General features: G+C 56.9%; 1 protein-coding gene across 15 annotated transcripts, besides 2 other annotated features; it reads left to right on the plus strand.

Annotated features, from left to right (window-relative positions):
* Positions 1516-2020: an enhancer, noted in NCBI's record as "H3K4me1 hESC enhancer chr1:156862813-156863317 (GRCh37/hg19 assembly coordinates)". NCBI's record gives its function as "activates a minimal SCP1, AML or CMV promoter by ChIP-STARR-seq in naive H9 embryonic stem cells {active_cell/tissue: H9 hESC(naive)}" and the evidence as "EXISTENCE:reporter gene assay evidence [ECO:0000049][PMID:30033119]".
* On the plus strand, positions 2213-24924 carry PEAR1 (platelet endothelial aggregation receptor 1). Of its 15 annotated transcripts, XM_047419737.1 has the most exons (25): positions 2213-2332; positions 10683-10780; positions 12352-12522; positions 13243-13347; positions 13439-13493; positions 13819-13919; positions 14771-14863; positions 15132-15375; positions 16105-16225; positions 16410-16546; positions 16623-16835; positions 17150-17324; positions 17411-17531; positions 18246-18409; positions 18501-18603; positions 18729-18875; positions 19113-19238; positions 20742-20870; positions 20989-21117; positions 21265-21477; positions 21689-21777; positions 21886-22018; positions 22187-22255; positions 22347-22595; positions 23142-24924. In XM_047419737.1, the coding sequence occupies exons 5-25, from the start codon at positions 13480-13482 to the stop codon at positions 23291-23293; spliced, it is 2922 nt and encodes a 973-aa protein (XP_047275693.1). In that variant the 5' UTR covers positions 2213-2332; positions 10683-10780; positions 12352-12522; positions 13243-13347; positions 13439-13479; the 3' UTR covers positions 23294-24924. The 15 variants fall into 15 exon arrangements, with proteins under 15 accessions (XP_047275693.1, NP_001340612.1, XP_005245198.1 ...); NM_001353683.2 differs by having other exon boundaries at positions 13243-13493; XM_005245141.4 differs by lacking the exon at positions 13439-13493.
* Positions 4464-5663: an enhancer, noted in NCBI's record as "CDK7 strongly-dependent group 2 enhancer chr1:156865761-156866960 (GRCh37/hg19 assembly coordinates)". NCBI's record gives its function as "activates an origin of replication core promoter dependent on BRD2, BRD4, P300/CBP, MED14 and CDK7 cofactors, with strong dependence on CDK7, by STARR-seq in HCT116 cells {active_cell/tissue: HCT116}" and the evidence as "EXISTENCE:reporter gene assay evidence [ECO:0000049][PMID:35650434]".
* Positions 24925-24998: the final 74 nt, after the last annotated feature.

A 24998-nucleotide genomic window follows, 5' to 3' on the forward strand; every position in this document is an offset into this window, starting at 1 on the left:
ATGGGTACAGAGTTGCAGTTTGGGATGCTGAAAAAGTTCTGACCTTTTCATCGGAAAAGGAGATGAATAACACCGATGCTTCCACGCAAGTGATGTACTTAATGCCACTGAACTGTACACTTGAAAATGTTTCGAATGATACATTTCATAGTATGTATATTTTACCCCAATTTAAAAAAGTCTAAAAAACAAAGCTCACCAAATTGTATGCTCTAAGTAGGTACATTTTTTATTGTATGTCAATTATACCTCAATACAGTTGAGTTTTAAAAGTCTCCCAGGAGGGATGATACTGCTTTGCTCTCCTCACCTAAGCTTACTCTGTGGCTCTCTGTGTGAGGAGGTGGAGTGTGAGCCCTGGAATTGGACGCACCACAGACCTCGGTTCAAATCTTGCTTGTAGGCGGGGCGCCGTGGCTCAGGTCTGTAATCCCAACACTTTGGGAGGCCGAGGCAGGCGGATCGCCTGAGCCCAGGAAGTCGAGACCAGCCTGGACAAGATGGTGAAACCCCATCTCTACTAAAAATACAAAAATTAGCCTGACGTGTGGGCGCGCGCCTGTAATCCCAGCTACTCAGGAGGCTGAGGCGGGAGAATCGCTTGAACCCGGGAGGCAGAGGTTGCAGTGAACTGAGATCGTGCGTGGGAGACAGAGCAAGACTCCGTCTCAAAACCAAACCAAATAGTGCTTCTGCCACTAATTAGTGTCCTAAGCCGCTCAGGACGTCGGTTTCGCCATATGTAAAAGGACATAATGATGAAACCAATCTCGAGTGAAGGATTCAATGAGGCAATACGCCTGAAGGGCTGACCACGGCGAAAGCTAATGTTCATTGCTATCAGGCGGGGAAAGCTAATGTTCATTGCTATCAGGCGGGGAAGGGCTCCCAGGTCTGGTCCCCCGGCTGTGGGGCTCTGGGAAGCGGATGCTAGCCGCGAGGTGGCGCTCGCACCGGACTCGGTGGGCTCAGGAGTTGCTTACGCGCTGGTGGGTGTGGGCCGGAGGCGGGGCGGGCAGAGGCGGAGAATGCTTCCCAGGGTCACACCCTCCCGCGGTGTGACTTTTTTCTTTTCTTTTTTTTTTCTTTCTTTTTTTTAAGATAGGGTCTCGCTCTGTCGCCCAGGCTGGAGTGGAGTGGCAGGATCTTGGCTCACTGCAGTCTCGACCTCCTAGGCTCAAGCGATCCTTCCTCTTCAGCCTCCCCAGTAAACCGAGACCACAGGTGCGCGCCACTACACCTGGCGCGTTTTTTTTTTTTTTTTTTTTTTGACGGAGCTGTGCTCTGTCGCCCAAGCTGGAGTGCAGTGGCACGATCTCGGCTCACTGCCACCTTCGTCTCCTGGGTTCAAGCGATTCTCCTGCCTCAGCCTCCCCCAGTAGCTGGGATTACAGGCGCCCACCACCACGCCCGGCAATTTTTTTTGTACTCTTCGTAGAGACGGAGTTTCACCGTGTTGGCCAGGCTGGTCTCTAACTCCTGACCTCAAATGATCCGCCCTCCTTGGCCTCCCAAAGTGCTGGGATTACAGGCCTGAGCCACGGCGCCCGGCCCTAATTTTTGTATTTTTAGTAGAGACAGGATTTCGCCATGTTGGCCAGGCTGGTCTCCAAACTCTGGGCTCCACGATCGGCCGGCCTCGGCCTTCCAAAGTGCTGGGATTATAGGCATGAGCCACCGCGCCCGGCCTTCCGCAGTGCGATTAGGGGCGGCAGGAGGAGAGGGGGGCCTCGCCCTGTCAGCCTCTCCGAGACTAGTGGGATGCGGTGCCCGGGAGGGGTCTTAATAAGATCACGGTTGCTGGGCAGCACTGGACAGTGCCCGACGTAGGCGATCTCATTGATTCCTTCCCACAACCCCACTTTGCAGATAGGAAAGCTGAGGCACGAGAGGGTAAGTAACCCAGGCCGCACAACGAGGGGAAGCTAGGGAGGGACTGGGGCCCTGGGCCCCTGCGCTGACCTCCCCTCCTCATCCCCTTCTTATCCCCCTCTGCTCCTGGCCCAGGCCGCGCAGAGTCGGCCTCTGTGATCCCACCCAGAATACAGTTTTCCCTCCCGGGCGCCTGGATCTCCCCTCCCCCGGCTCCTGTTTCCTTGTCAAAACTTCCTGCCTTGGCGAGGGCCCGAGTTCCCACCCCCTTCCTGCCCCCCGCCCCTCGGCGCCCCTCCCGGCCCTGCGATCAGCAGCGTCCCGCCTCCCCGCCGCTCCCGCAGTCAGGCTGGGGCTCGAAGTGGGGACCCTCGCCCCGTCCTCGGCTGTCCAGTCCTCCTCCTCGCAGACCCCGGCGGTTCCTACCCCAGGCCGCAGGGGAGACGGGGCCCCAAGGCAGGTGAGTGACTGCGCGCCCCCTGGCAGGGGAGGCCCGGTGGTGCGGCCCCGGAGACCACCCTGCCCCGGGGAAAGGGCTTGCGGTCCCTGAGGTCCCCCTCCTCGACTGGAGTCTGAGGCCCCAGACCCAGGAGTGTAGAAAAGAGGGACTGATGGAGAGAGACGTGAAGGAGGGGAAGGGGACAGTGGAGGGGGCCAGAGAGGATGGGTTGGGGGTTCCCTTCCGTAATGAACATGTAAATGAGATGAAATGCTAGCGAGGTTGTTCCCTAAGCCCCTGGTCCCCGGACTTTGTGAGTCAGGGGCAGCCTGGCTCACTGCCCCCTCCCAGGGCTGGGAAGAGAAGACTGGGTGCTGTCCTTGGCTTGCAAGGGAAGTGTAGCCACAAGAGCATCGACACTGGAGCCAAGACTGCCTAAGTGCCACCCTCCACTCTGCAGCTTACTGTCTGTGGGGTCTTGGTCAAGAGGCCTGACCTCTGTGCCTCAGTTTCTCATTTCTAAAGGAGAATAATATAGGGCCTACCTCATGGGTTGTGAGGCTTAAGTGAGCAAAAACGTGTCTCCTGCTTTGAATGACGCTAGATAAACAGATTATCAGTGTCATCTCTCTGTCCAGCGGCAGGAATGTTTGAGGGAGGATGTAGGGGAAGGACCCAGGTTTGCAGGTCCCTGGCTCTCACATCTTTGCCAGTTATGAGGACTGGGGGTTCAGCTTGAGGTCCCGGGCAACTGGATCCTCAGAAAACTTGGCAGGCTGATGATCTGAAGTTGTGCTAAGGGCCAGGTGGGTGTGTGGGGGGTCCAGGAGCCCAGGCCCCAGCAAGGCAACCCTTCACCCCCACCCCCGTCTCCAGCCTCCAGTAGCTGCTCTCCACTCCCCTGTTCTGGCCTGTTATGAGTGGCCTCTCCTGGGGCTGGGCTGTGACCCTAGTCCCCGGGGACAGGAACAGCTTGTGCTGGCCTGAGGTTCCCAGGCTCAGCCAGGGCTCAGCTCGGGCAGGATTGGGCCGGGTGTCAGCTCTCAACCCTGGCCTAAGCTGGCCTTGTGCTAGGGGGACGGTTGGAGACGGGGGAGCTCATCTCTGAACCCCACTCAAAACCAGCTCATGGTATAGGGCCTGTTGTGTGTGCTTGTGAGCCAGTCATAAGCCAGGGTGTGGGCGCAGCCCTCCTATCTCCTGTGTCTCCTCCCTGCTGTGTGGCCTCTCCCACTCTTGAGGCCTCCGAAGGCCCACCCACCATGTTCCCCACTGCAGGTGGGGCTGCCATCTCTAGGAGCTGGGTTGGCCAGACTCACTTCTCTGCCTTCCTCTCTCTCCACTGGAGGATGAAGCTGAGAGTTGGCATCTGTTCCTCCACCCTCTGTCCCCCCTCAACATCTCCTATCAGACTCTCCCAGAAGAGGAAACTCACGCTCCAGGCAGCCTCATCCACCAGTCGGAAACCTGGAGAGAGATAGAAGGTCATGGGGCTGCTGTGTGCCTCCCCGCACCCGACACACACTGCTGGGGAGGAGGCTGAGGCCAGGTGGAGCCTCCACCACGGCATTCCCCAAGCCTCTCCTCTGAGGAGCCTTGGGAGCCTTGAGAAAGAGGCCTCCCAGGACTCATGGGGGACCCTGGGGTGCCATCCTAGCTTTGGGGAGGATCTTGGCTTCTGTCATCTAACCTACAGGGGAGAAGCCAGAAGGAAGAGGCAGAGAAGACAGGGAAGGAGAGAGAGAAACACAAAGACAGAGATAGAGACAGATATAAATACGGAAACAGAGGCTGACAGATGCAGAGACACAGCAGAGGCACAGACTCATTACAACAAAATGCCCGGAGGGAGAAAAGCAGGCCTAGAAAAATAGAGCAGAGACCTAGGGATAGAACAAAAAGGAGGCGGAGACAGAGGGAGAGGAGGAGAAAGTCAGAAGACCAAAGAGAAACTGTGAGGTTAGAAGGCAGCACACTGGAAACACCAGGCGAGGTGGCTCACGCCGGTAATCCCAGCATTTTGGGAGGCCAAGGTATGAGGATCTCTGGAGGCCAGGAGTTCAAGACCGGCCTGGTCAACATAATGAGATTGCATCCCTACAATTTTTTTTTTTAATTAGCTTGGCATGGTGGTGCCCGCCCATGGGCCCATCTACTCAAGAGGCTGAGGTGGGAGGATCACTTGAGCCCAGGAGGTTGAGGCTGCAGTGAGCCATGATCACGCCACTGCATTCCAGCCTGGGCACACAGCGAAGCCCTGTCTCAAAACAAAACAAAAAGAAAGCAGCACAGGCTTTGGAATGACATAGACCTGGCCCAAATCCCTGCTCCGGCTTCAGTTGCCTGTGTGGCCTAGGACAAATCACTGAACTTTTCTGGGATATTTCTTCATAAAATGGGAGGCATAATAGCACTTACTTTATAGGCTTGCTGGGAGAACTAAAAGACAGGATCTAGCCACAGCACACATTTAACGAGGCGCAGTAATTAGTATCCCAGTACCTGGGAGGTAACCCAGGGGTTACCTCCCCACACTGCTTTGTGCTTTGAAGCAGATTTGAATCCTGCTCTTGCCCCTGGCAGCCAGACAGCCCTTGGCAAGGCATTTTACCTGAGACCCTCCACTGTGCTGCCTACCAAATGGGGATGACAATCACCAGCACCTTCCAGGGTGGCGGCGAGGGTTGGGACTGGCACTGGCGACAGCCTGCGGGAGGGGTTGCGATTGATGTGTGAATCAGGATCCCTGCAGGTGAGTGGGCCCTGGGGCGTAGCCCGCTCACTGCTGGTGGGTGCTCATGCCCTCCCACTTTTGCCCTCCGTCCTACCCCCATGAATTGGCACCTGGGGCCCAGTCCCTCTGTGTAGCGGGAGATGTGTGCAGTGGACAGTGAGGGGGTGTTGGCCCTGGATGGGGAGGCACAGGATGAGGGCTCAGGCGGTGTGGGCATGCCCCTCCACCTCCAGGTGACTCAGGGCCTGGAGCTGTTGTGCACTCATCCCATAGGAACTTGGAGGCCGGCCCTGAGGAATTCCTGCTGGAGGTCAGGAGGGCAAGTCTGGAGCCGCCTTTTGCTTTGTAACGTTGAAAAGTTCTTTCTGCATTCCACTTTCCATCATCTCATCAAACACGCACCTCATTGTGTCTTGAGGGCCCCGAGACAAGGGCCCAGCTCTACTGTCTGGAGTACGGGGAGAAGCCACAGCTTCTGAGCATCTCTCCCTCTCTCCCATTCCTGGGAAAGTCAAGGAGCACTGGAGTCAGAAAGATTTCAGGGTGTATCAGTCCATCCACTCCACACAAATGTTTAGTTATTGCCTGTTGGGTGCCGGGCATCCTGGGTGTAAGTGCTGGCCAGTCCTGGGGTTAAAGTGGTGAGGAAGGCAGAGAAGTGCCCTGTCCCTGGGGAGCTCCAGTCCAGTGAGGCAGACTGACTTTAATAAAAGCATAATGACTCATAGGATGGGAGCCGCGAGGAAACACCCAGGGGGCACCCAGACCCGCTCACAGAGCCTTGGAGAGGAATAAGATTTGAGGGAGTCCAACCTGGTGGGGAAACCAGACTCACAAACCAGCAATCACAGATAGGGTATCCATCAGCCTAATCAGCCCAGCAGACTTGGAGTACGTCGGGGGCTGTGAACCCCTGGGTTGGCCTGGGTGAGTTCCGCTTGCTTCCAGAGGAGGTACACTGGTGCCAGGACTTTGGCTGGGGTTTGGGGAGGTGTGGAGCCTCCAGGGACAGGTGCATGTCCAGCTGGGAGCCAGCCTCAGGGCATTCAGGGGGAAGAGCAACCCCCGGCCTCCTTGAGGCCACGCGGGTCTGTGGTGACTGTGTGTTCCTGAGAGCCTGCAGGAAGGCCTGGAGAGCAGGGAGGAGGGCGTGAGCCTGGAGCCACTGAGGGGCTTCTTGGAAGCGGCTGGCCTTGAGGCTGTGTAGAACCTGGGCATTTCAGGGGTGGCCTGAGCCATGGTGGCGGTGTGGTGAGAGGCATGTGGGGTCAGCGGCTGTCCAGTGTGATGGGAGCGCAGGGGTAGAGGTAATGAAGCTGGACCCCCTTGTAGGGGCTGGCCCCCTGGGGGTTCTTTCTTGGGGTGTAGGCAGCCACAGAGTGGGAGAGGGGGCAGTGGCCAGAGCACTTTCTGAAGGTAATCTCGGGGTGGCGATGAGCAGGGTGGGCCTGAGGGGGCACTGCTCCCTAGTCTATGTCACCCAGGGTTTACCTCCCCACACTGCTTTGTCCTTTGAAGCAGATTTGAATCCTGCTCTTGCCCCTGGCAGCCAGACAGCCCTTGGCAAGGCATTTTACCTGAGACCCTCCACTGTGCTGCCTACCAAATGGGGATGACAATCACCAGCACCTTCCAGGGTGGCGGCGAGGGTTGGGACTGGCACTGGCAACACCCTCTGGGAGGGGTGCGATAGATGTGTGAATCAGGATCCCTGCAGCTGCCCCATTTCCTGATGAGTAAACAGGTCGGACCTAGGACCCTCTAGCTTCTGTTTCCTGAGCCACAGAGAACACAAGTCCAGCCCCTCACCCCTGCCCCTTTCCCGCCCAGCCTCTGGCGCACTCTGGCCGCATACGCAGGCTTCCTGTTTCTCCATCCGGCAGACATGCCTGGCGTGCCGAGGGCCTGGCCCCGCTGGATATAGGCAGTGCTCTGTGCTTCAGTGTGCAAGCGTGTACATGGGTGTACTGGGTAGCCTGTGGAGTGCAGCAGGCTGCTGGGGGAGCTCCCTGTGTAGGGAGGGAGGGGAGAAGTCTTTGGACTGCGATCTCACTGCTGGGTGGGAAGGACTAAGTGATCCTGTCTCCATGGCAAAGATAGGTTAGAAAAGGCCACAGAGAAACAGACACAGAGACAGGGAGACAGACAGAAAGACAAGAGAGATACAGGGCAAGACAACCTTAGCACCAAGCTAAGACGCATGGCTTTAGTGAGTGGATTGTAGCTGGAGTTCAGCTTCCACTCTGTCCTTGAAAGTGGATGCTGTTATGCAGTAAATACACCGTGCAACTGTACATGGCAGCCTTAGTATAGGAACGGAAAAAGAGAGGCAGGAAGACAGAGACCAAGAAGCTGATGAAGGAAGGGGATGGGGAAAGGCAGATAGCAGAGTTTCTGATGAAGAACAAGACAAAAGTCCAAAAGGAAGAGGCAGAAACCCTGGAGCTTGGAGGATTCTGTTTTTGCATCAACACACATCCACGGAGCAGGCTCTAGTCTGAGGTCTGAGGTCTGAGGTTCTGTTCCAGAATGGTCACTGGAACCAGCAGTTCCAACCTTTGCAGGGCCCTGAGAGATGGCGGGGAGTGCTAGTCTCCCATTTTACAGATGAGGAGATGGAGGATCAGAGGACTCAAGTTATGTATTATAACTCAGGTTACACAGCTTGTAAGACAGAGATAGGACTAGAAGCTTTGTACTCCAGGATAGGAAGTGATGAGAGAGAGAGGGAGATGGAGAAGAGAGGAGGGGGCAGTCGGACCGAGCAAGGAACTAGGGTTGGTGCTTAGGCCCAGGGCTGGGGGAAGCAGAATTTAGGCATTCTGCCTTGTCAACCGCATCTGGCTTGAAGATGCACCTGGCGGGCAGCCCATCGTTTTGGGGGATCAGGTTCTCGGGGGAGCCTGGCCCCCTCCTGCCCCCACTTCCTTTCTCTCTGTCAGCATTTGCGGCCCCATTCCCATTCCCGGATCATCCTGGGGGTTCTTCAGAAAAAACAAGAAGGTTTTTCCTGGAATTAATACCCAAAGGCGCCAAGGGGAGGGCGGATGGGGGCCACATTGGGTGCAAGAGGAGGAGTGGGACTGAGAATGCTATCATGGAGACAGCTAATGTTAACTGAGCATATTAGGTACTGGGTCTAACTGCTTTATCTAGATCAACTCATTTAGTCTGCACAGCGACCCTACAAAGGAAGCACTAATCTTATCCCCATTTTCTAGGTGAGGGAACTGCAGGCTGGGATTCACACCCAGGCTTGAACTTGGGCAGGGGTTGGGGGTGCAGAGGTGAGGGGTTATCCTATGCTACATGACTTCCCAGAGAAGCTGGAAGGGAGCCCGTGGGGAAGTCCCTTCTGCTGTCTCACTTCCGTCACCCTTACTCTCTGCTTTCTATAGAAATGGATCCTCTTGTCCACCAGGAACTCTAATCCCCCCCACCCCTGCTCCCCTAGAGCCCACACTCAATTCCTTCCTCCTAGGAGGGGTTGGGGCACAGTGAGGGTAGGGGGGCTCCCCACCAGAGGGAACCAGCTGAGCTGGAGTTTAGGGAAGCCCAGGGAGGGTGATCTGGTCTTCTGTGTGGGCTCGGAGGCTGAGAGGGCAGGGATGCTGGGCTGCGCAGGCGGGACTGGGATCTCAGGGCCTGGCCAGGAGCCCAGCCGATTTGCATCTCGAGGTGGAGGAGAGAGAAGTGTCAGCTCATTCTTGACTGTAAACACATCTCAGTTCCCACGCTTCTGATCATGTTCTTGTGGCAGCCCCCACCCCCATCCCCTTCTCCTGTCCAATCCCCTGGCAGCTCCCCCACCCCATAAGAGAGACTTTTAAAAAGAAGATACAGAGCCCCTGGGCTTCCCATCTGGACTTGGGAAAGAGTAGAATCATGGGGAGTCCTCTGCCAGCAGCCTGGATTTGGATCCCAGCTCTGACACTCCTGGCTGTGCGGTCCTGGTCAGGTTTCTTACCCTCTCTGTGCCTGCTTCCTCATCTCTGAAGTGGGCCATAACACCTACTACAAGGGGTTAATGTAAACTTTAAATGTGATGATCCACGTAAATCTCTCAACACCCTGCCTGTCGCAGCTCAGTGAACGATACGTGGGGTCACCTTATGATTCTCGGGAGGGAAGGTGTTTGAGTCCCTCAAACCAGAGGCTTGGAGGGTGAAGGTTGAGTAGGGGAACAGGAGGGGGCCTCTGCATGAGAAGAAGCAAGCCTGCAGCAGGGGTGCTCCAGGGTCCCCCTCAGTGAGTGCACTGTGGGCCCCCAGGGCAGAGCAGGGGTCCAGGAGTGGTCTCATTTCACCCCCTTGAGGGGTATATGCAATCTCTTGGGTATATGCAATGGGCCCATTGCTGCTGTGGCTGGAAGGGGTTGGGGGAGCATGGGCCAGGCTCAGGTGCCCTGCCCCTCAGGGACAAAGGCTTAGATGGGAACTAGCCTGGAGGCCAGGCTGGGGCTCTGGGCTCCTGGTCTGGCCTGTGTTCCCTTCTCAGAGGCAAAGGATGGTCAAGCCAAAACCTTCCTCTTCCTGCCAGGACCCCCATCTCATCTGTCCCCTCCCGGGGCCACCCACTGATCTCCCCTGACCCCACCCTGGCTTCCAGCCCCTGGGCTGACCAGCTGATGCCTCCTCCGCACTCTGGCCCTACCCTGAGGACCTTTGGGAAAACAGAACCTACCCACCCTTCCAGCCAGCTAACCTCCCAGCCAGCCAGAAGTGGGTGGGGATGAGAGTCAGCTCCTCCTCATGCTCCTCAGTCCTTCAGTCCATCTCAAAGTCCCCCAGGTGAACCGTGTCCTCTAGAAGTTGGCTGGGAGGAGGTGACAGGGACAGGACTTGGGTGGGTAGGGGCTGACAGGAATGGGAGGAAGGACCTTTTCTCGGCCCAACAACAGCTCAACCTATATGGCACTTCCTCCCTGGGCCTTAACTCGACTCCTTCCTGCAACAAGTTTTGTCCATGCCACCACGCCATAGGCTCTGTGAACAGATCCAGGGCAGAAGGATGGCTGGGGAGTCCTTGTGTGTCTCAGGAGATGAGGCTCACCCAGGGACAAGGGTGATGAGCCTGGCTTCAGACAGACTGAGCTGCAGTTGGAGCACAGGGGCCCCACGCCAGGGCCAGAGCTGAGGGTCAGGGAAGAGGGGAGTGTGGAGACCGAGAGATGAGGCAGAGGCATATGGAGGGCTCGGGGTCCTGACCAGGGCCCTGGCTGCCAACCACACTGAGGGAGAGGTGGAGAGAAGGTTAGCTGGGGCTAGGCAGAGCGATCCCTGGAGTGGGCATTGGGCCTGGGAAGATGGCTGGAGCAGGGCAGGGTGGGAGGGGATGGTTTGGGGACATTGGGAGAAGGGATGACTCTATTTGGGAGTGGGGATGTGTCTGGGTGATGTGGGGGTGGAGCTCTGGGACAGACTCTGGGGAGTGTCTCTAGGGCACTCCTGACTGTGGCCTCTCCCCTTCAGAGGGGGCCACAGTGTCAGCTCTGGAGACAAGCTGCCAGAAAGAGGCTTCTGGTCATGGCCCTCCCGTATGCTACCCACTGCGTTCAGGATGGTGGGAGGATGGAGCCACCCCCGTCACGCTCCCTGCTGTCCCCCTTCCTAGCCAGGCTCTGTTTCCTGTTTTCAGGCTTCATATCCTGAACGCTGGGATCCCCCAGGACATTCCCTGGCCCCCAGGCCCCAGGTCCCAGGCCCCAGGGCTGAGCTGTGGGCAGGCCCCACCTGGTGAGTTACTTGGGGACTGAGGATGGATAGGAGGAAGCACAGAGGAGGCTAGAGGCTGAGATTCGCCCTGCGGGAAGTGTGATGGGGCATGCGGCTGGGCTGCACTGGAGGGGTGGGTAGACGCTGGCACTGGGAGGATAGGTGGGCCAGCATCCTGGATGAAAGGCTGGAGATTTGGCTGCTGGAGGGTTAAAGGTGAAGGAGGAACATGGGCGGCTGAGATGGGGTTAATTTAGGAGCCTAGACCTGGAGGGAAGGAGCGGCTGCCCTTCTTGGGGCTGAGAGTGGCTTTGGGGACCCTGGGAGTGTGTGGGTGTGGGGTGTGGGGTAGGGCCAGGCAGCAACATTCCAGAGATACTCAGGGGGGTAAGGGGCCAGCAACCGCGACCTTTCTCTCGTCTCAGAAAAATTATAAGCAGATGTGGGCGCCTCGGGGAGGCGTAGAGCAGGGAGCCAGAGCAAGTTTTGGGAACACGGAATGCAGACCCTGAAGCCGGCTGCGGGGATGGGCACTGCGGTAACTCATCCTCTCCTGAGCTCAGGAGCTGAGGCAGCAGAGCCGTCTGAAGTGCTGGGAGCCAGGGGTGGTGGGGATGGAGAGGACCCCATTTCCGAATGGCTGACAGGGCAGTCTGAGGGAGGCGGGAGCTTTTCCTTAAATGCAAGGCCAGGTTGGTGACCTCTTCAGGTGATGGCACCTAGAGTTGGGTGTTGTGGTGTGCTGGCTAAGGTGTCACAACTGACTCTGGGAGGGAGACTGGCCTTGGGTTTTAGTGTTTGCTAGTTTCTCTGGTGTCAATAACCCCCCATGCCTGATTTCAAGCTACTCACGTGACATCACTGAACATGTTGCTAGGAAGAGATGCATACAATTGGCTCTCTGGGCCCGTATGAGGTGGTTCCAGCACACCACTGGTTGGGAGGTCACCTGGACCCAGCCCCACTCCCACCATATAGAGCAGGAAACCCCTGACAGCGTTTCATCAGGCTGGTTTTGGCTTCTGCCTGCATATGTCCAGTGACAGGGAACTCACCACCTGAGGTAGCCGATTCTATTCCTGAGCCGCTCTGACTGTTGGAAAGTTCTTCCTCTGACTGAGCCCAAGGCTGAGTCCCTCATCACTTCCCCTCACTGGTTCCAGTCTCACACCTTGGTACAAATATCAAAGTGCCCTGGGTAGGGCCTGGGCTGGGGGCTGGGGATTCAGAGATGAAACGCACTGGGTCCCTGCCTCTGGAGGTCATGGTCAGGGAGCAGGCACTGGAACAGTGGGGTGGGGGTGAATGATACTGGGACCCCCAGAAGGAATGAGTGGGATCATCTGCCAATGAGCATCAGGAAGTGGAGGAGGGAAGGGGTGGCACCTGAACTAGACCTTGAAAGATGGGAACTCCAGGTGAAGAATGAGACGTGAGGGTGTCTAAGCAAACTATGAGCAAAGACCGGAGGCGTGGAAGTGACTGCAGTTCAGGAGTGAGGTGTAGGGGAGCTGGAGCTCAGAGCAAGGGGCCAGAGGACACGGGGCCGCAGTCTGGTCTCTTCTGCATGCCCACGGCTCAGATCTCTGCAGACAGGTCCTCCAGGCTGCTGGCTGCAGCGCCACTGCCCACTCTGCGCCGGTCTTGCTGCAGGCCTCTGCAATGTCACCGCCTCTGTGTCCCCTCCTTCTCCTGGCTGTGGGCCTGCGGCTGGCTGGAACTCTCAACCCCAGTGATCCCAATACCTGCAGCTTCTGGGAAAGGTGAGAGGGCCCCTGCTGCACCTTGAGGGCACCAAGCCCTAGCTCCCGATTGTCCCTATTGTCCCTACTGGGGTCCTTTTCTTGGTCCTTCCTTAATCTCCTTCCTTCTCTCTAGTCTCTCCCCTCCCGCCTATTTCTCTGTTTCTGCTCTCTCTACTCCTCTCTATGGGTTGCCTTTGACTCCAGCCCCATTTCTGACCTTGTCTCAGTCTCTGAACCATCCTTTCTCTTTCCCCGTCCCTTAGTTCCTGTGGGAGGCCAACTTTGGAACAGAGCGCAGAGTGGGAGCCATTCGTTGTGGAGCAAGCAGAGGGGCTGGCCCAGGGGGAGCAAAGGAAACAGGGCGGGGAGAAAAGACCCAGGGCAGAATATAGCCGGAAATACTTCAGCCCATCGCCGCCAGCTGGGCCCAGGAGTCAGTTCTCACTCACCCTTTCCATACAGGGAGGAGAGGGCAGGGAGAGAAAAATGGAAGGCTCCGGTCCAATAGAGTGGGAAGGGCGCTCTGATGGAGGGTATCCCAGGAACCTTCCAGTTCTGGGAGAAGCCTCCAGACTTGAGAGGTGGGACAGGATGGGGGTCCCATCCTAGGCTACGAGAGCAGCCCCAGCGTTGGGCTGTGGATTCCCCACTGTGGCCAAGCCCTCATGGCCATTTTCCCGTTGTGGCCGCTCAGGCCTCCTCCTGCCCTCGGCCCTGACCCTGTTCCCTGTCTTGCAGCTTCACTACCACCACCAAGGAGTCCCACTCCCGCCCCTTCAGCCTGCTCCCCTCAGAGCCCTGCGAGCGGCCCTGGGAGGGCCCCCATACTTGCCCCCAGCCCACGTGAGTGCTCCTCATCCTCCATGGGTGGATGGGCTACCTGAGTCGCTGCCTCAGCCTGGCCCCTGGCCCTCTGTACCTGTTCACTTCTCAGAAACTCAGAGGAAACTCCTGGCTTCTAGGGATTCATTCTGCATGGTCTGTGTCGGGTACGTGTGTATGGGATGTATATGTGAATGCGTGTATGTGTGTTTAGGGTACGCATGCATGTTACAGTATATGCCTGTGGGGTTGGGGGGGGGGCAAGAAGGGAATGCTCTTTCTTTTTTTAATAGACAAGGTCTCGCTCTGTCACCCAGGCTGGAGTGCAGTGGCGAGATCGTAGTGCACTGCAACCTCAAACAGGGAATGCGCTTTCTATGCGCCCTCAGCCCAGAGTGTTGAGTGGTGCCCCTTCCCTGGCCTCCCCCTGGCCACACTGTGGTGAGTGCGGACAGCAGGGAGGGCTGAGGGCCGCCTTCCTGGCCTCCGCAGGGTTGTATACCGGACCGTGTACCGTCAGGTGGTGAAGACGGACCACCGCCAGCGCCTGCAGTGCTGCCATGGCTTCTATGAGAGCAGGGGGTTCTGTGTCCGTGAGTCCAGGGTTGGGTTAGGGAGCGGGGTGGGGCAATGGAATGCGGGGAGCTTAGCCTACTCTTCTGAGTCCCTCCCGGCCCCCGCTAGAATGGGGTTACTCCTCTGCCCTTTTGGGTTCCCCCCTCCTCTCCTCTCCCTGGCCTTGTCCCCAGGATGGGGATCAGCACTTCCCTCTCCATCACCACTTCACACCCCTGTCTCCAGCCGGCCCCATGTGTCTCCCACCCCATCTCTCCATGTCCCTCAACAGTGTCTCTGCATCGCTGTCTGCCCTAGAGCTCTTGTTCTGTCTTTGGGCTGTCTCTGTCTCTCTGTCACTGTGTGTCTCAGGACTTGGTGTCTGGGTCTGCCTCTGTCTCTTCCTCTCCCTGACTCTCTGTTGCTATTGGTCTCTGACTTGTCACTATCCAGTCTCTCCTGCCCACTGCACCCCCCTCCCAGCACCCTGTAATGACTGGAGCCTGTCTTCCTCTTCCTCCCACTTCCCTCAGCCACTGCCCATCACGAGCCTCTGCAAACACTGCTCTCCAGAGAACCCCGACCGCCACCTGCCCTCTCTCTGGACAGTGTCCATGTTCAGTCCCCTTTTGAGGATCTCCCCCAAAGCATTTTCCCAACAAGGTGCTCAGACAATTTCACAAAAAGGAACAGGGGAACCCAGAACACTGGCATCTTGCTAAGTTCTCCCCCTGAGTTGCTGCCCCTCAGTCTTTATCTTAGAGGCAGAATTGGGGCTTGGAGAACTTCAGGTCCCTGGTTTTGGAGGAAGGTGGGGTTAGGCTTTGCAGGATAAAAGCTGGGTAGGGGCAGGGGTGGACACATCTCACCACACCCATCTCTGTCCCAGCGCTCTGTGCCCAGGAGTGTGTCCATGGCCGTTGTGTGGCACCCAATCAGTGCCAATGTGTGCCAGGCTGGCGGGGCGACGACTGTTCCAGTGGTGAGTGGCTACTGACCCCAGGGAGTGGCCTCTTGTGCCTTCAGGGCCACAGGACCCTCAGGTACACCCTCCCTACCAGGGCACAGGGGCTTAGGACCCCAGGGCGATTACCCGCCAGAGCCCCATTGCTGCCATCTGCCTTTTCTGGAGATGTGGAAGACAGGGTGGGCCTGTGGGGGCTGGGAGACAGAGGCTGGGAGACAGAGACGGGGAGGCTGGGGATGGACTAGACCCCTGGTGACCCCCTTCCCGCCTCCTTATCCCACAGAGTGTGCCCCAGGAATGTGGGGGCCACAGTGTGACAAGCCCTGCAGCTGCGGCAACAACAGCTCGTGTGATCCCAAGAGTGGGGTATGTTCTTGCCCTTCTGGTCTGCAGCCCCCGAACTGCCTTCAGCCCTGTACCCCTGGCTACTATGGCCCTGCCTGCCAGTTCCGCTGCCAGTGCCATGGGGCACCCTGCGATCCCCAGACTGGAGCCTGCTTCTGCCCCGCAGAGAGAACTGGGCCCAGGTATGTAATGGGGGGAACGACACTTTAACAAGATCGCAGACACAAGGCCACACAGATCTATGTGGGGAAATGAGGTGACTCAGACAGGGCCCCAAGTGTGGGGATGATGTGGAGGCCAAGATCCTGGTCCCAGTGGATCCTATTCCTCACGAGTGGAGTGACCTTGAGCAAATCATTGACTCGTTGTGGGCTTGTTTCCTGTCTGTAAAACGGGAATAGTATTGTCTACATGGCAGGGTGGCTGTGAAGATAACATGAGGTAGCACGTGTGTGAAGGCATGCTGCAAAGTGAGGCTGGGACAAGGACCCAGAGAACCCTGTTGCAAGGCAGGGTGCAGGGGGAGCTGGGGAGTCCCGGGAGGGAGAAGGTAGACCTAGGTGGAAATCAAGATCACGCTTTGTGGAGGCGCTCGTGGAGTTGAGCCTACTACAGTAGCACAGATGTTCCCCGAGAGTGAACAGACCAAGCCAAGGTGAGGAGGTGGGGGCGCCCGAGAGGCAGACATGCCACCCGTGGCTCTTTGCTCACCCCCACCTGCCGGTGCCAGGGTGTCCCTGCCATTTCCAGTCCTGGAAACCTTTGCTTTCTGACTCGACAGTCCCCAGCAGGAAAGAGCAAGTGTGAATCACTAAGTCCTGAGGTGGGGGTTGTGGGGGCAGTCCTTGGAGGCAAGAGAGGAAGCAGTTATTGCTTGTTTGCACATTGACTCCACCCACTCTGTCCTGCAGCTGTGACGTGTCCTGTTCCCAGGGCACTTCTGGCTTCTTCTGCCCCAGCACCCATTCTTGCCAAAATGGAGGTGTCTTCCAAACCCCACAGGGCTCCTGCAGCTGCCCCCCTGGCTGGATGGTATGGAGGGTGGGGCCTGTGGGCATGGGGTGTGGGTCTGGGGAGAATTCTGTGGGTGGTGCTAAGCAGGGCTCCAAGGTGAGTGAGGGGGGTGAGCTCTGTGGTTATGGGGGTGTCAAGGGGTCCTGTGGCCTTGGGGAGGAGGCTGGGTGCCTGGGGCCCTGTTGACCTCTTATCCCCACAGGGCACCATCTGCTCCCTGCCCTGCCCAGAGGGCTTTCACGGACCCAACTGCTCCCAGGAATGTCGCTGCCACAACGGCGGCCTCTGTGACCGATTCACTGGGCAGTGCCGCTGCGCTCCGGGTTACACTGGGGATCGGTGAGTGGCGTGGGGCGGGCGGGAGACGGGAGGGAGGAGGTGGGGCGCCGCCAGGCTCACTCAGCTAGGTGCCCAGGTGCCGGGAGGAGTGCCCGGTGGGCCGCTTTGGGCAGGACTGTGCTGAGACGTGCGACTGCGCCCCGGACGCCCGTTGCTTCCCGGCCAACGGCGCATGTCTGTGCGAACACGGCTTCACTGGGGACCGCTGCACGGATCGCCTCTGCCCCGACGGCTTCTACGGTCTCAGCTGCCAGGCCCCCTGCACCTGCGACCGGGAGCACAGCCTCAGGTGGGCCGCGGGACATGTGGTCAAAGGATCAGGAGGCCAATGGGGAGGTCTTCCTGGCCGAAGTCACCACAGAGCCAGGGCCATATCCAAGGGGGACAGGTGTCACAGAAGGGGAAAGGGAGGGACCTCAGGGGCCGGGAGGGGCCTGGGGTACCGCTACTTGCCCCAACCCAGTTTTCAGAATAGCGCGGAGCCTCCCTAGTGACCCCCTTACCCCAGCGATGTGCGAATCCCACTGACCACGCGGAGGGGTCGGGAAGCTGCCCTGCCCCTGCCCAGCTCAGACCGCGCCACGCCCCCGCCTCTGCCCCCAGCTGCCACCCGATGAACGGGGAGTGCTCCTGCCTGCCGGGCTGGGCGGGCCTCCACTGCAACGAGAGCTGCCCGCAGGACACGCATGGGCCAGGGTGCCAGGAGCACTGTCTCTGCCTGCACGGTGGCGTCTGCCAGGCTACCAGCGGCCTCTGTCAGTGCGCGCCGGGTTACACGGTGAGGCGCGCCCGGCTGCAAGGAAGCGAGGCAGGTGGAGAGGCCAAGGAATGGGCCGCCCCTCTCACCCGCTCACCCTCTTTCAGGGCCCTCACTGTGCTAGTCTTTGTCCTCCTGACACCTACGGTGTCAACTGTTCTGCACGCTGCTCATGTGAAAATGCCATCGCCTGCTCACCCATCGACGGCGAGTGCGTCTGCAAGGAAGGTAATAGGGTGGAGTTTCCCAGAGAGAAGACTTGGGGGATGGCCAAGGGAAGAAGGGAGAGTCCAAGAGTATGGGTGGGCCAAGGGCAGGGGAGCGGCTGCAGGGTAAGGGTGGAGGGGCAGCAGCTGGACACAGGGAAAGTATCCAGGCTACTTTCTTCCTGGAATATCCACTTTGCTTTTCTTCAACCACAAAGATCCTACCTGTCCTTAAAGGCTGAGGCCAAAAGCCACCTCACTGGCGAACGTCCCTCACCCTCAGTCATACGGAAACACAATTACCATGCTGGGAAGGGCCTCACATCTGCCAGAGTGACACATTGGCAACCTTTAGGCTGGACTCGGATACAGTTGTGCTTTGTTTGGCTAACAAGTCTCCCATCTTCAGTCCCCACTACTCCCTGTTGTCTGGCACATCCTCTGTATAAGTCATTTAGTTACCTGATGGGGCCCCTGTAAACATTTGGGTTTAGTGCCATCCCCTTTATTTTGCAGAAGGCACCCCAGACCCAGAATGGGGTGGTACCTCACTGGAAGGCAGTTAGCCTTCTGCTCCGCATCAAATAACTCATAAGCTTTTCTCCTGTATGGTGCCGTGAACACCCCCCACCCACCCCAGCTCATAGCATAGAATCTGGCCCAGCCAGCTCCCACTGTGTGCTTGCTCAGGAAGGGAAATGGGTCCCCATACCTACCTACCAGGCCCCTCCTCCAGGTTGGCAGCGTGGTAACTGCTCTGTGCCCTGCCCACCCGGAACCTGGGGCTTCAGTTGCAATGCCAGCTGCCAGTGTGCCCATGAGGCAGTCTGCAGCCCCCAAACTGGAGCCTGTACCTGCACCCCTGGGTGGCATGGGGCCCACTGCCAGCTGCCCTGTCCGGTGAGTGCTGGACAGCCTGTCTGCCTGGGGGTGGGGAGGGCATGGCGTCCCCCAGCTGACTGGCCTACCTGCTCCCCACTCCTTCTCCAAGAAGGGGCAGTTTGGAGAAGGTTGTGCCAGTCGCTGTGACTGTGACCACTCTGATGGCTGTGACCCTGTTCATGGACGCTGTCAGTGCCAGGCTGGCTGGATGGGTGAGCATTCTGGGGCCCCAGGCCTACTGTGGATTGGGGGATGCATCCATAGGAAATGTGTCCAGAAGAGCCCCCTGGAACTGAAGGGGGCCCAGCCAGGCACACCCGACTGCTGTCTCCCACAGGTGCCCGCTGCCACCTGTCCTGCCCTGAGGGCTTATGGGGAGTCAACTGTAGCAACACCTGCACCTGCAAGAATGGGGGCACCTGTCTCCCTGAGAATGGCAACTGCGTGTGTGCACCCGGATTCCGGGGCCCCTCCTGCCAGAGATGTGAGGCTCCCTACTGCCCCTTCCACCTGCCACCAGCAGGGGGCAGTGTAGTGTCAGCTGCCAGAGCACCCCTCCCCCCGCGCCCGCCGCCCACCTCTCCCACCTTACCCCCGGTCTCTTCCTCTGACCCGTCTTCAGACTAGTTACTGCAGTGGGAAGGTGGGAGGGAGACGGTGGGGTAAGGGCTGATTGAGGATTGGCCTCTGCCCCCAATCACCATGTACCCCTTTCCCCCAGCCTGTCAGCCTGGCCGCTATGGCAAACGCTGTGTGCCCTGCAAGTGCGCTAACCACTCCTTCTGCCACCCCTCGAACGGGACCTGCTACTGCCTGGCTGGCTGGACAGGCCCCGACTGCTCCCAGCGTATGTGGTAGCTTGTGTGTCTGAGCATACGTGCATGCTGAGAGGGGGTGCTGAGGACGGGAGGTCTCTGTCCCCCAGCTCCTGGGTATAAAAGCCTCTGGGCCCACCTTGAGTAAATATTTACTGGGCACCACCTACATGCTGGGTACTGTTCTAGGTGCTAAGGATGCAGCAGTGAACAGGTCAGGGGGAAAAATTCCTGCCCTTCTGCATGGGAAGCCTGGGAAGAACAGTATTTTTATGGGAGCAGGGGAAATCATAGGCTTAGCTTGGGACATTTTCTCTTGATTTCTTTTTCTTTCTTTCTTTCTTTCTTTCTTTCTTTCTTTCTTTCTTTCTTTCTTTCTTTCCTTTCTTTCTTTCTTTTCTTTCTTCTTTCTTTCTTTCCTTTCTTTCTTTTCTTTCTTTCTTTTTCTTTCTTTCTTTCCTTTCTTTTCTTTCTTCTTTCTTTCTTTCTTTTCTTTCTTTCTTTCTTTCCTTTCTTTCTTTCTTTTCTTTCTTCTTTCTTTCTTCTTTTCTCTCCCTCCCTCTCTCTTTCTTTCTTTTTTTTTTTTTTGACACGGAATCTCACTCTGTTGCCCAGGCTAGAGTGCAGTGGCATGATCTCAGCTCCCTGCAACCTCTGCCTCTGGTTTAGTTAATTCTTTTGCCTCAGCCTCCCCAGTAGCTGGGATTACAGGCACACACCACCACAGCAGGCTAATTTTTGTATGTTTAGTAGAGACCCCTGGGGTTTCATCATATTGGCCAGGCTGGTCTCGAACTCCTGACCTCAGGTGATCCATCCGCCTCAGGTGATCTTGGCTTCCCAAAGTGCTGGGATTACAGGTGTGAGCCACTGCGCCCAGCCCTTTTTTTCTTTTGCATTTTTCAGTTTATTTTTATTTATATATTAATAAATACATGTATTTCTTTATTTTATGAGCCTTTCCCCCACAAAAATATATTAAGATCATTGAAAAGATTAGTCCAAAAAAGCCAAGTAAAACGAGTTTGGAAAGAGGAAACAGGCTGTTATGAAGAAGACTGAATTTCAGCTTACCAGCAGGCGGGGTAAAGAAGGAAGTCATCTTGGTGAAGAGTTTTTCCATAGACTCTGGTTACAACTACTATTAGATTATTGCTAGTGTTAGACACACAAAAATAATGCCTTAAACAGGACAGATGTTTACTTCTCTCTTATGTTAAAAACAAAACAAAAATCCATCCGGGGTAGCTTGGAAGCCTTTGGTTGTGTGGCACTGAATACACTATTTTGAAGTGGCTATTAGATAGTCAAGTGCAGATGTTGAGTAGGTAGTTGGACACGTGGGTCTGGAGTTTGGGGGAGAGATGGGGCTGGAAATAATCATTTGTGAGTCATTGGTTGCAGATACTGTTCAAAGCTTTGGTGTGCCCAGGGAGACCAAAGCTGAGCTAAAGGCTTCAGTGATGCTGGGGGCTGAGAGTTCATCCAGGAAAAGCTGTACCTGCCCCACCAGACAGGCCCCATGTCTCCCGTAGCATGCCCTCCAGGACACTGGGGAGAAAACTGTGCCCAGACCTGCCAATGTCACCATGGTGGGACCTGCCATCCCCAGGATGGGAGCTGTATCTGCCCCCTAGGCTGGACTGGACACCACTGCTTAGAAGGTACCAACAGAAGGGGAACTCCAGGCCCCTGCCTCCAACTTAACCCTTACCCAAAAAAAGGAGACTAGAGTTTCCTGGCGGCTCTGATGCCGGCCTGCCTCCTTGGCTGTCTCCCCAGGCTGCCCTCTGGGGACATTTGGTGCTAACTGCTCCCAGCCATGCCAGTGTGGTCCTGGAGAAAAGTGCCACCCAGAGACTGGGGCCTGTGTATGTCCCCCAGGGCACAGTGGTGCACCTTGCAGGATTGGTGAGTTCTTTGCCCTCTCCTTCCCACCCATTGTCCCCAGGGAACTGGGACCTAGGCCCCTCATACAGTCCCTACTTCCCTCCTGAGCACCTCTCCCATGCAGCAGAGCCAAGATGCCATTCTGAGTGAGCACCCCATTCCACACAGGAATCCAGGAGCCCTTTACTGTGATGCCGACCACTCCAGTAGCGTATAACTCGCTGGGTGCAGTGATTGGCATTGCAGTGCTGGGGTCCCTTGTGGTAGCCCTGGTGGCACTGTTCATTGGCTATCGGCACTGGCAAAAAGGCAAGGAGCACCACCACCTGGCTGTGGCTTACAGCAGCGGGCGCCTGGACGGCTCCGAGTATGTCATGCCAGGTGAGCTGGCACAGGGCCTGGGGCACAGATGAGTGGCTGGCTCATAGGCACAAGAGTGGATGCTGGGCATGACCCAAAGGGAAGATGAGGAGTGGGGAGGAGGGAGGAAGGGAGGTCAGGGAGGCCAAAGTACTGATCTCCGGGGACAAAACAGCTCTCTTGGACTCCTGCCCATCGCTGAGCTCACCCTGTGCTTGTGTCTGTCATGCAGATGTCCCTCCGAGCTACAGTCACTACTACTCCAACCCCAGCTACCACACCCTGTCGCAGTGCTCCCCAAACCCCCCACCCCCTAACAAGGTCAGTGCCGGGGGAGGGGGTGCACTGTGGAGGGAAGCGCACAGACCAGCTTCTCTGGAAAGCCCTGTCCTTGCCTCTTGCTCTCCCTCCTGCACTGTCCCCTCTTAGGTTCCAGGCCCGCTCTTTGCCAGCCTGCAGAACCCTGAGCGGCCAGGTGGGGCCCAAGGGCATGATAACCACACCACCCTGCCTGCTGACTGGAAGCACCGCCGGGAGCCCCCTCCAGGGCCTCTGGACAGGGGTAGGTGCCGGGAGGCCAGGGTCTCTGGCGCGGGTGGATGTGTGCAGCCCAGATGCCGCGTCTGAGTGTGTGTGTCTGGAGACGGGGGCTCTGGGCCCCATTTCTAGAGGAAGTGTGAGCCGGGGGAGGGGACAGAGGGCTGATTACCAGTTGCCTCCTCCTCCTCAGGGAGCAGCCGCCTGGACCGAAGCTACAGCTATAGCTACAGCAATGGCCCAGGCCCATTCTACAATAAAGGTATGGGCACAGGGGCAACAAGGGAGGTGGCTGAGCTGGGGCTGAGGAACCAGTGCCTCCATGCGGCCTGACTTCTTTCCTCTATCCTTAGGGCTCATCTCTGAAGAGGAGCTCGGGGCCAGTGTGGCTTCCCTGAGCAGTGAGAACCCATATGCCACCATCCGGGACCTGCCCAGCTTGCCAGGGGGCCCCCGGGAGAGCAGCTACATGGAGATGAAAGGCCCTCCCTCAGGATCTCCCCCCAGGCAGCCTCCTCAGTTCTGGGACAGCCAGAGGCGGCGGCAACCCCAGCCACAGAGAGACAGTGGCACCTACGAGCAGCCCAGCCCCCTGATCCATGGTGAGCCCTCCCTCTCCACTGGCAGGAGCAGCAGAGAACTGGGACAAGGGAGGCAGAAAAACAGAAGGAACAGAGGGAGAAGAGAAGGCATGATGTGGCATCAAGAGTGAGGCCTTTGGGGTCAGCTTCGGGCTCAAATCAGGCATGACGGGGAGGCGACGTGGCCTCTCAGAGCCTGTGTCCTCATCTGGAGAACAGTATGGTGTACCTTCTTCGCAGAGCTCAGGATAGAAGTGGGGTCGTACAGCATCAGAGTGGTGGAGTTGGTACCCAGAAAAGTAGGGAGCCAGGCAGGTGATAAAGTCTCCTCATATCCTGGGAGGTGGGCGGGCTGAGGTGGCTTTCTCCATTGGCAGCTGAGAAGCTAAGAGAGTTTTGCTTGGAGCCGCACGGCCAGCTGATAGTAAACTGGTGTATGTATCCAGGCCCCATCTGCTTCTCTTTGCCTTGAAGAGGCTGAAGAGGAGAGGAGTGCAGTGGGAGTGGAGGGAGTGGGGAGAGTGGTGGGAGGAGCCACTCCCTCTTATCTTGTCCTCATGTTTCCAGACCGAGACTCTGTGGGCTCCCAGCCCCCTCTGCCTCCGGGCCTACCCCCCGGCCACTATGACTCACCCAAGAACAGCCACATCCCTGGACATTATGACTTGCCTCCAGTACGGCATCCCCCATCACCTCCACTTCGACGCCAGGACCGTTGAGGAGCCAGGATGGTATGGCAGAGGCCAGCACACCTGGCTGTTGCTGCTCAAGGCTGGGGACAGAGCCTAGTGTACCCCTGCCAGGAGCAGGGAGTGGACCGGCAGGCTGTGAACATGAACAACGCTTAACAGAGCAAGTGATGGGAGCCTTGTTCCTGGGTTCTACCATGGGAGACGCTGATCAGCAGGATGCCTGGCTCCCTTTCCCAACCCACTGCTCCCAAGGCCTCCAGGGCCCTGTGTACATAAACTGGTGGGTTGGAAGTTGCTGGGTAACTCTGATTTCAGACATGCGTGTGGGGTACCTTTTCTGTGCATGCTCAGCCTGGGCTCTGTGCGTGTGTGTGTTTCTGTGATTTTAGAAGGGTACCAGGCACAGGTTCTGTCCTAGGGCACTTACCATTTAGTAGGGAGATGGAACCAACCCAATTAACTCTAGCAATAGCCTCCTAACTGGCCTCCTCCATTGATTCAGTGAACCTTCCAATGCATGGCTCATAATTTCAAAATACAGGCTGGTTAGTTACTCCCTACCTGAAAGCCTTCATAGGTGCCTCTTTGCTCTTCTGCCAGTATCAAAACTTTTGAAGGCCTTAAAGGCCCTGCTTTGCCTGGCCCATCTGTCTCTCCAGCCTCACCTTGAACTGTGTTCCTGTCACTGCACGCCAGTCACACCGGCCTCTAGGTCCTCCTGTAGGCCACTCTTCTTTCTGGCACAGGGACCTGCACACCTGGAGTGCCCTTCCTCCCCCACTCGCCTGTTCACCCCTGCTTTTCCTTTACACCTCCTCCTCAGGGAAGTGCCCACCCTCCGTACATCTTTCACAGCCCTGATTGCAGCTGTGTTCACTCACCAGGTACCTGCAGAAGGCCTACAGGGTGCCAGGCACTTCTTTAATGTGTTCTTTCTTTATGTGATTATTTGATTAATCTCTGCCTCCCCCACTAGACTGTAAGCTCCCTGAAGGCAAGAATCCTGTGCTTATGCTCAATATTAGCTCTCCCTTGGCACAGAGTAGGCACTCAACAAATGCTCCCCAAAAGGCTGAGTGGCTGACTGAATTAAGTACCAGTGACATGCAGTAACTGCTAAGATAGATGAGCCATCTGTATGCTCTGACAGTTACAGACTGAATAAGTTGGAGACTTCCCTAAAGGGTGGCATTTCCCCAGGGTAACAACGCAGAGCTCAGGTGTGGGAAGGTGCCAGGGGCAGGGGTGCAGAGGGGCTGAGGCTGAGGGGGGTGCAGAGGCTGGAGAAAGGATAACAGGAGAGAGTATACAGGCATGCCTTGATTTATTGCACTTCACAGGTAGCAGAATTTTTAAAGAAATTGAAGGTTTTGGGACATATATGTGACAGCAATAGGTTAAGAAAAGCAAAGCAGAGAAATTGAAGATTTGTGTCAACACTGCTTTAAGCAAATCTGTTGGCACCATTTTTCCAATAGCATGTGCCCATTTTGGGTCTCTACATTGCATTTTGGTAATTGCTTGCAATATTTCAAGCATTTTCATTGTTATTATATGTGTTATAGTGATCTGTGATCAGTGATCTTTGATATATTATTGTAATTGTTTCGGGGCGCCATGAACCGCACCCATATAACACGGTAAACTTAATCAGCAAACGTTGTGTGTGTTCTGACTGCTCCACCGACCAGCCGTTCCCCCAAGTCTTTCCCTCTCTTAGGGCCTCCCTATT

This window comes from Homo sapiens, chromosome 1 (genome assembly GCF_000001405.40).
Source record: "Homo sapiens chromosome 1, GRCh38.p14 Primary Assembly".
In the NCBI taxonomy this organism is placed as follows: Eukaryota; Metazoa; Chordata; class Mammalia; order Primates; family Hominidae; genus Homo; species Homo sapiens.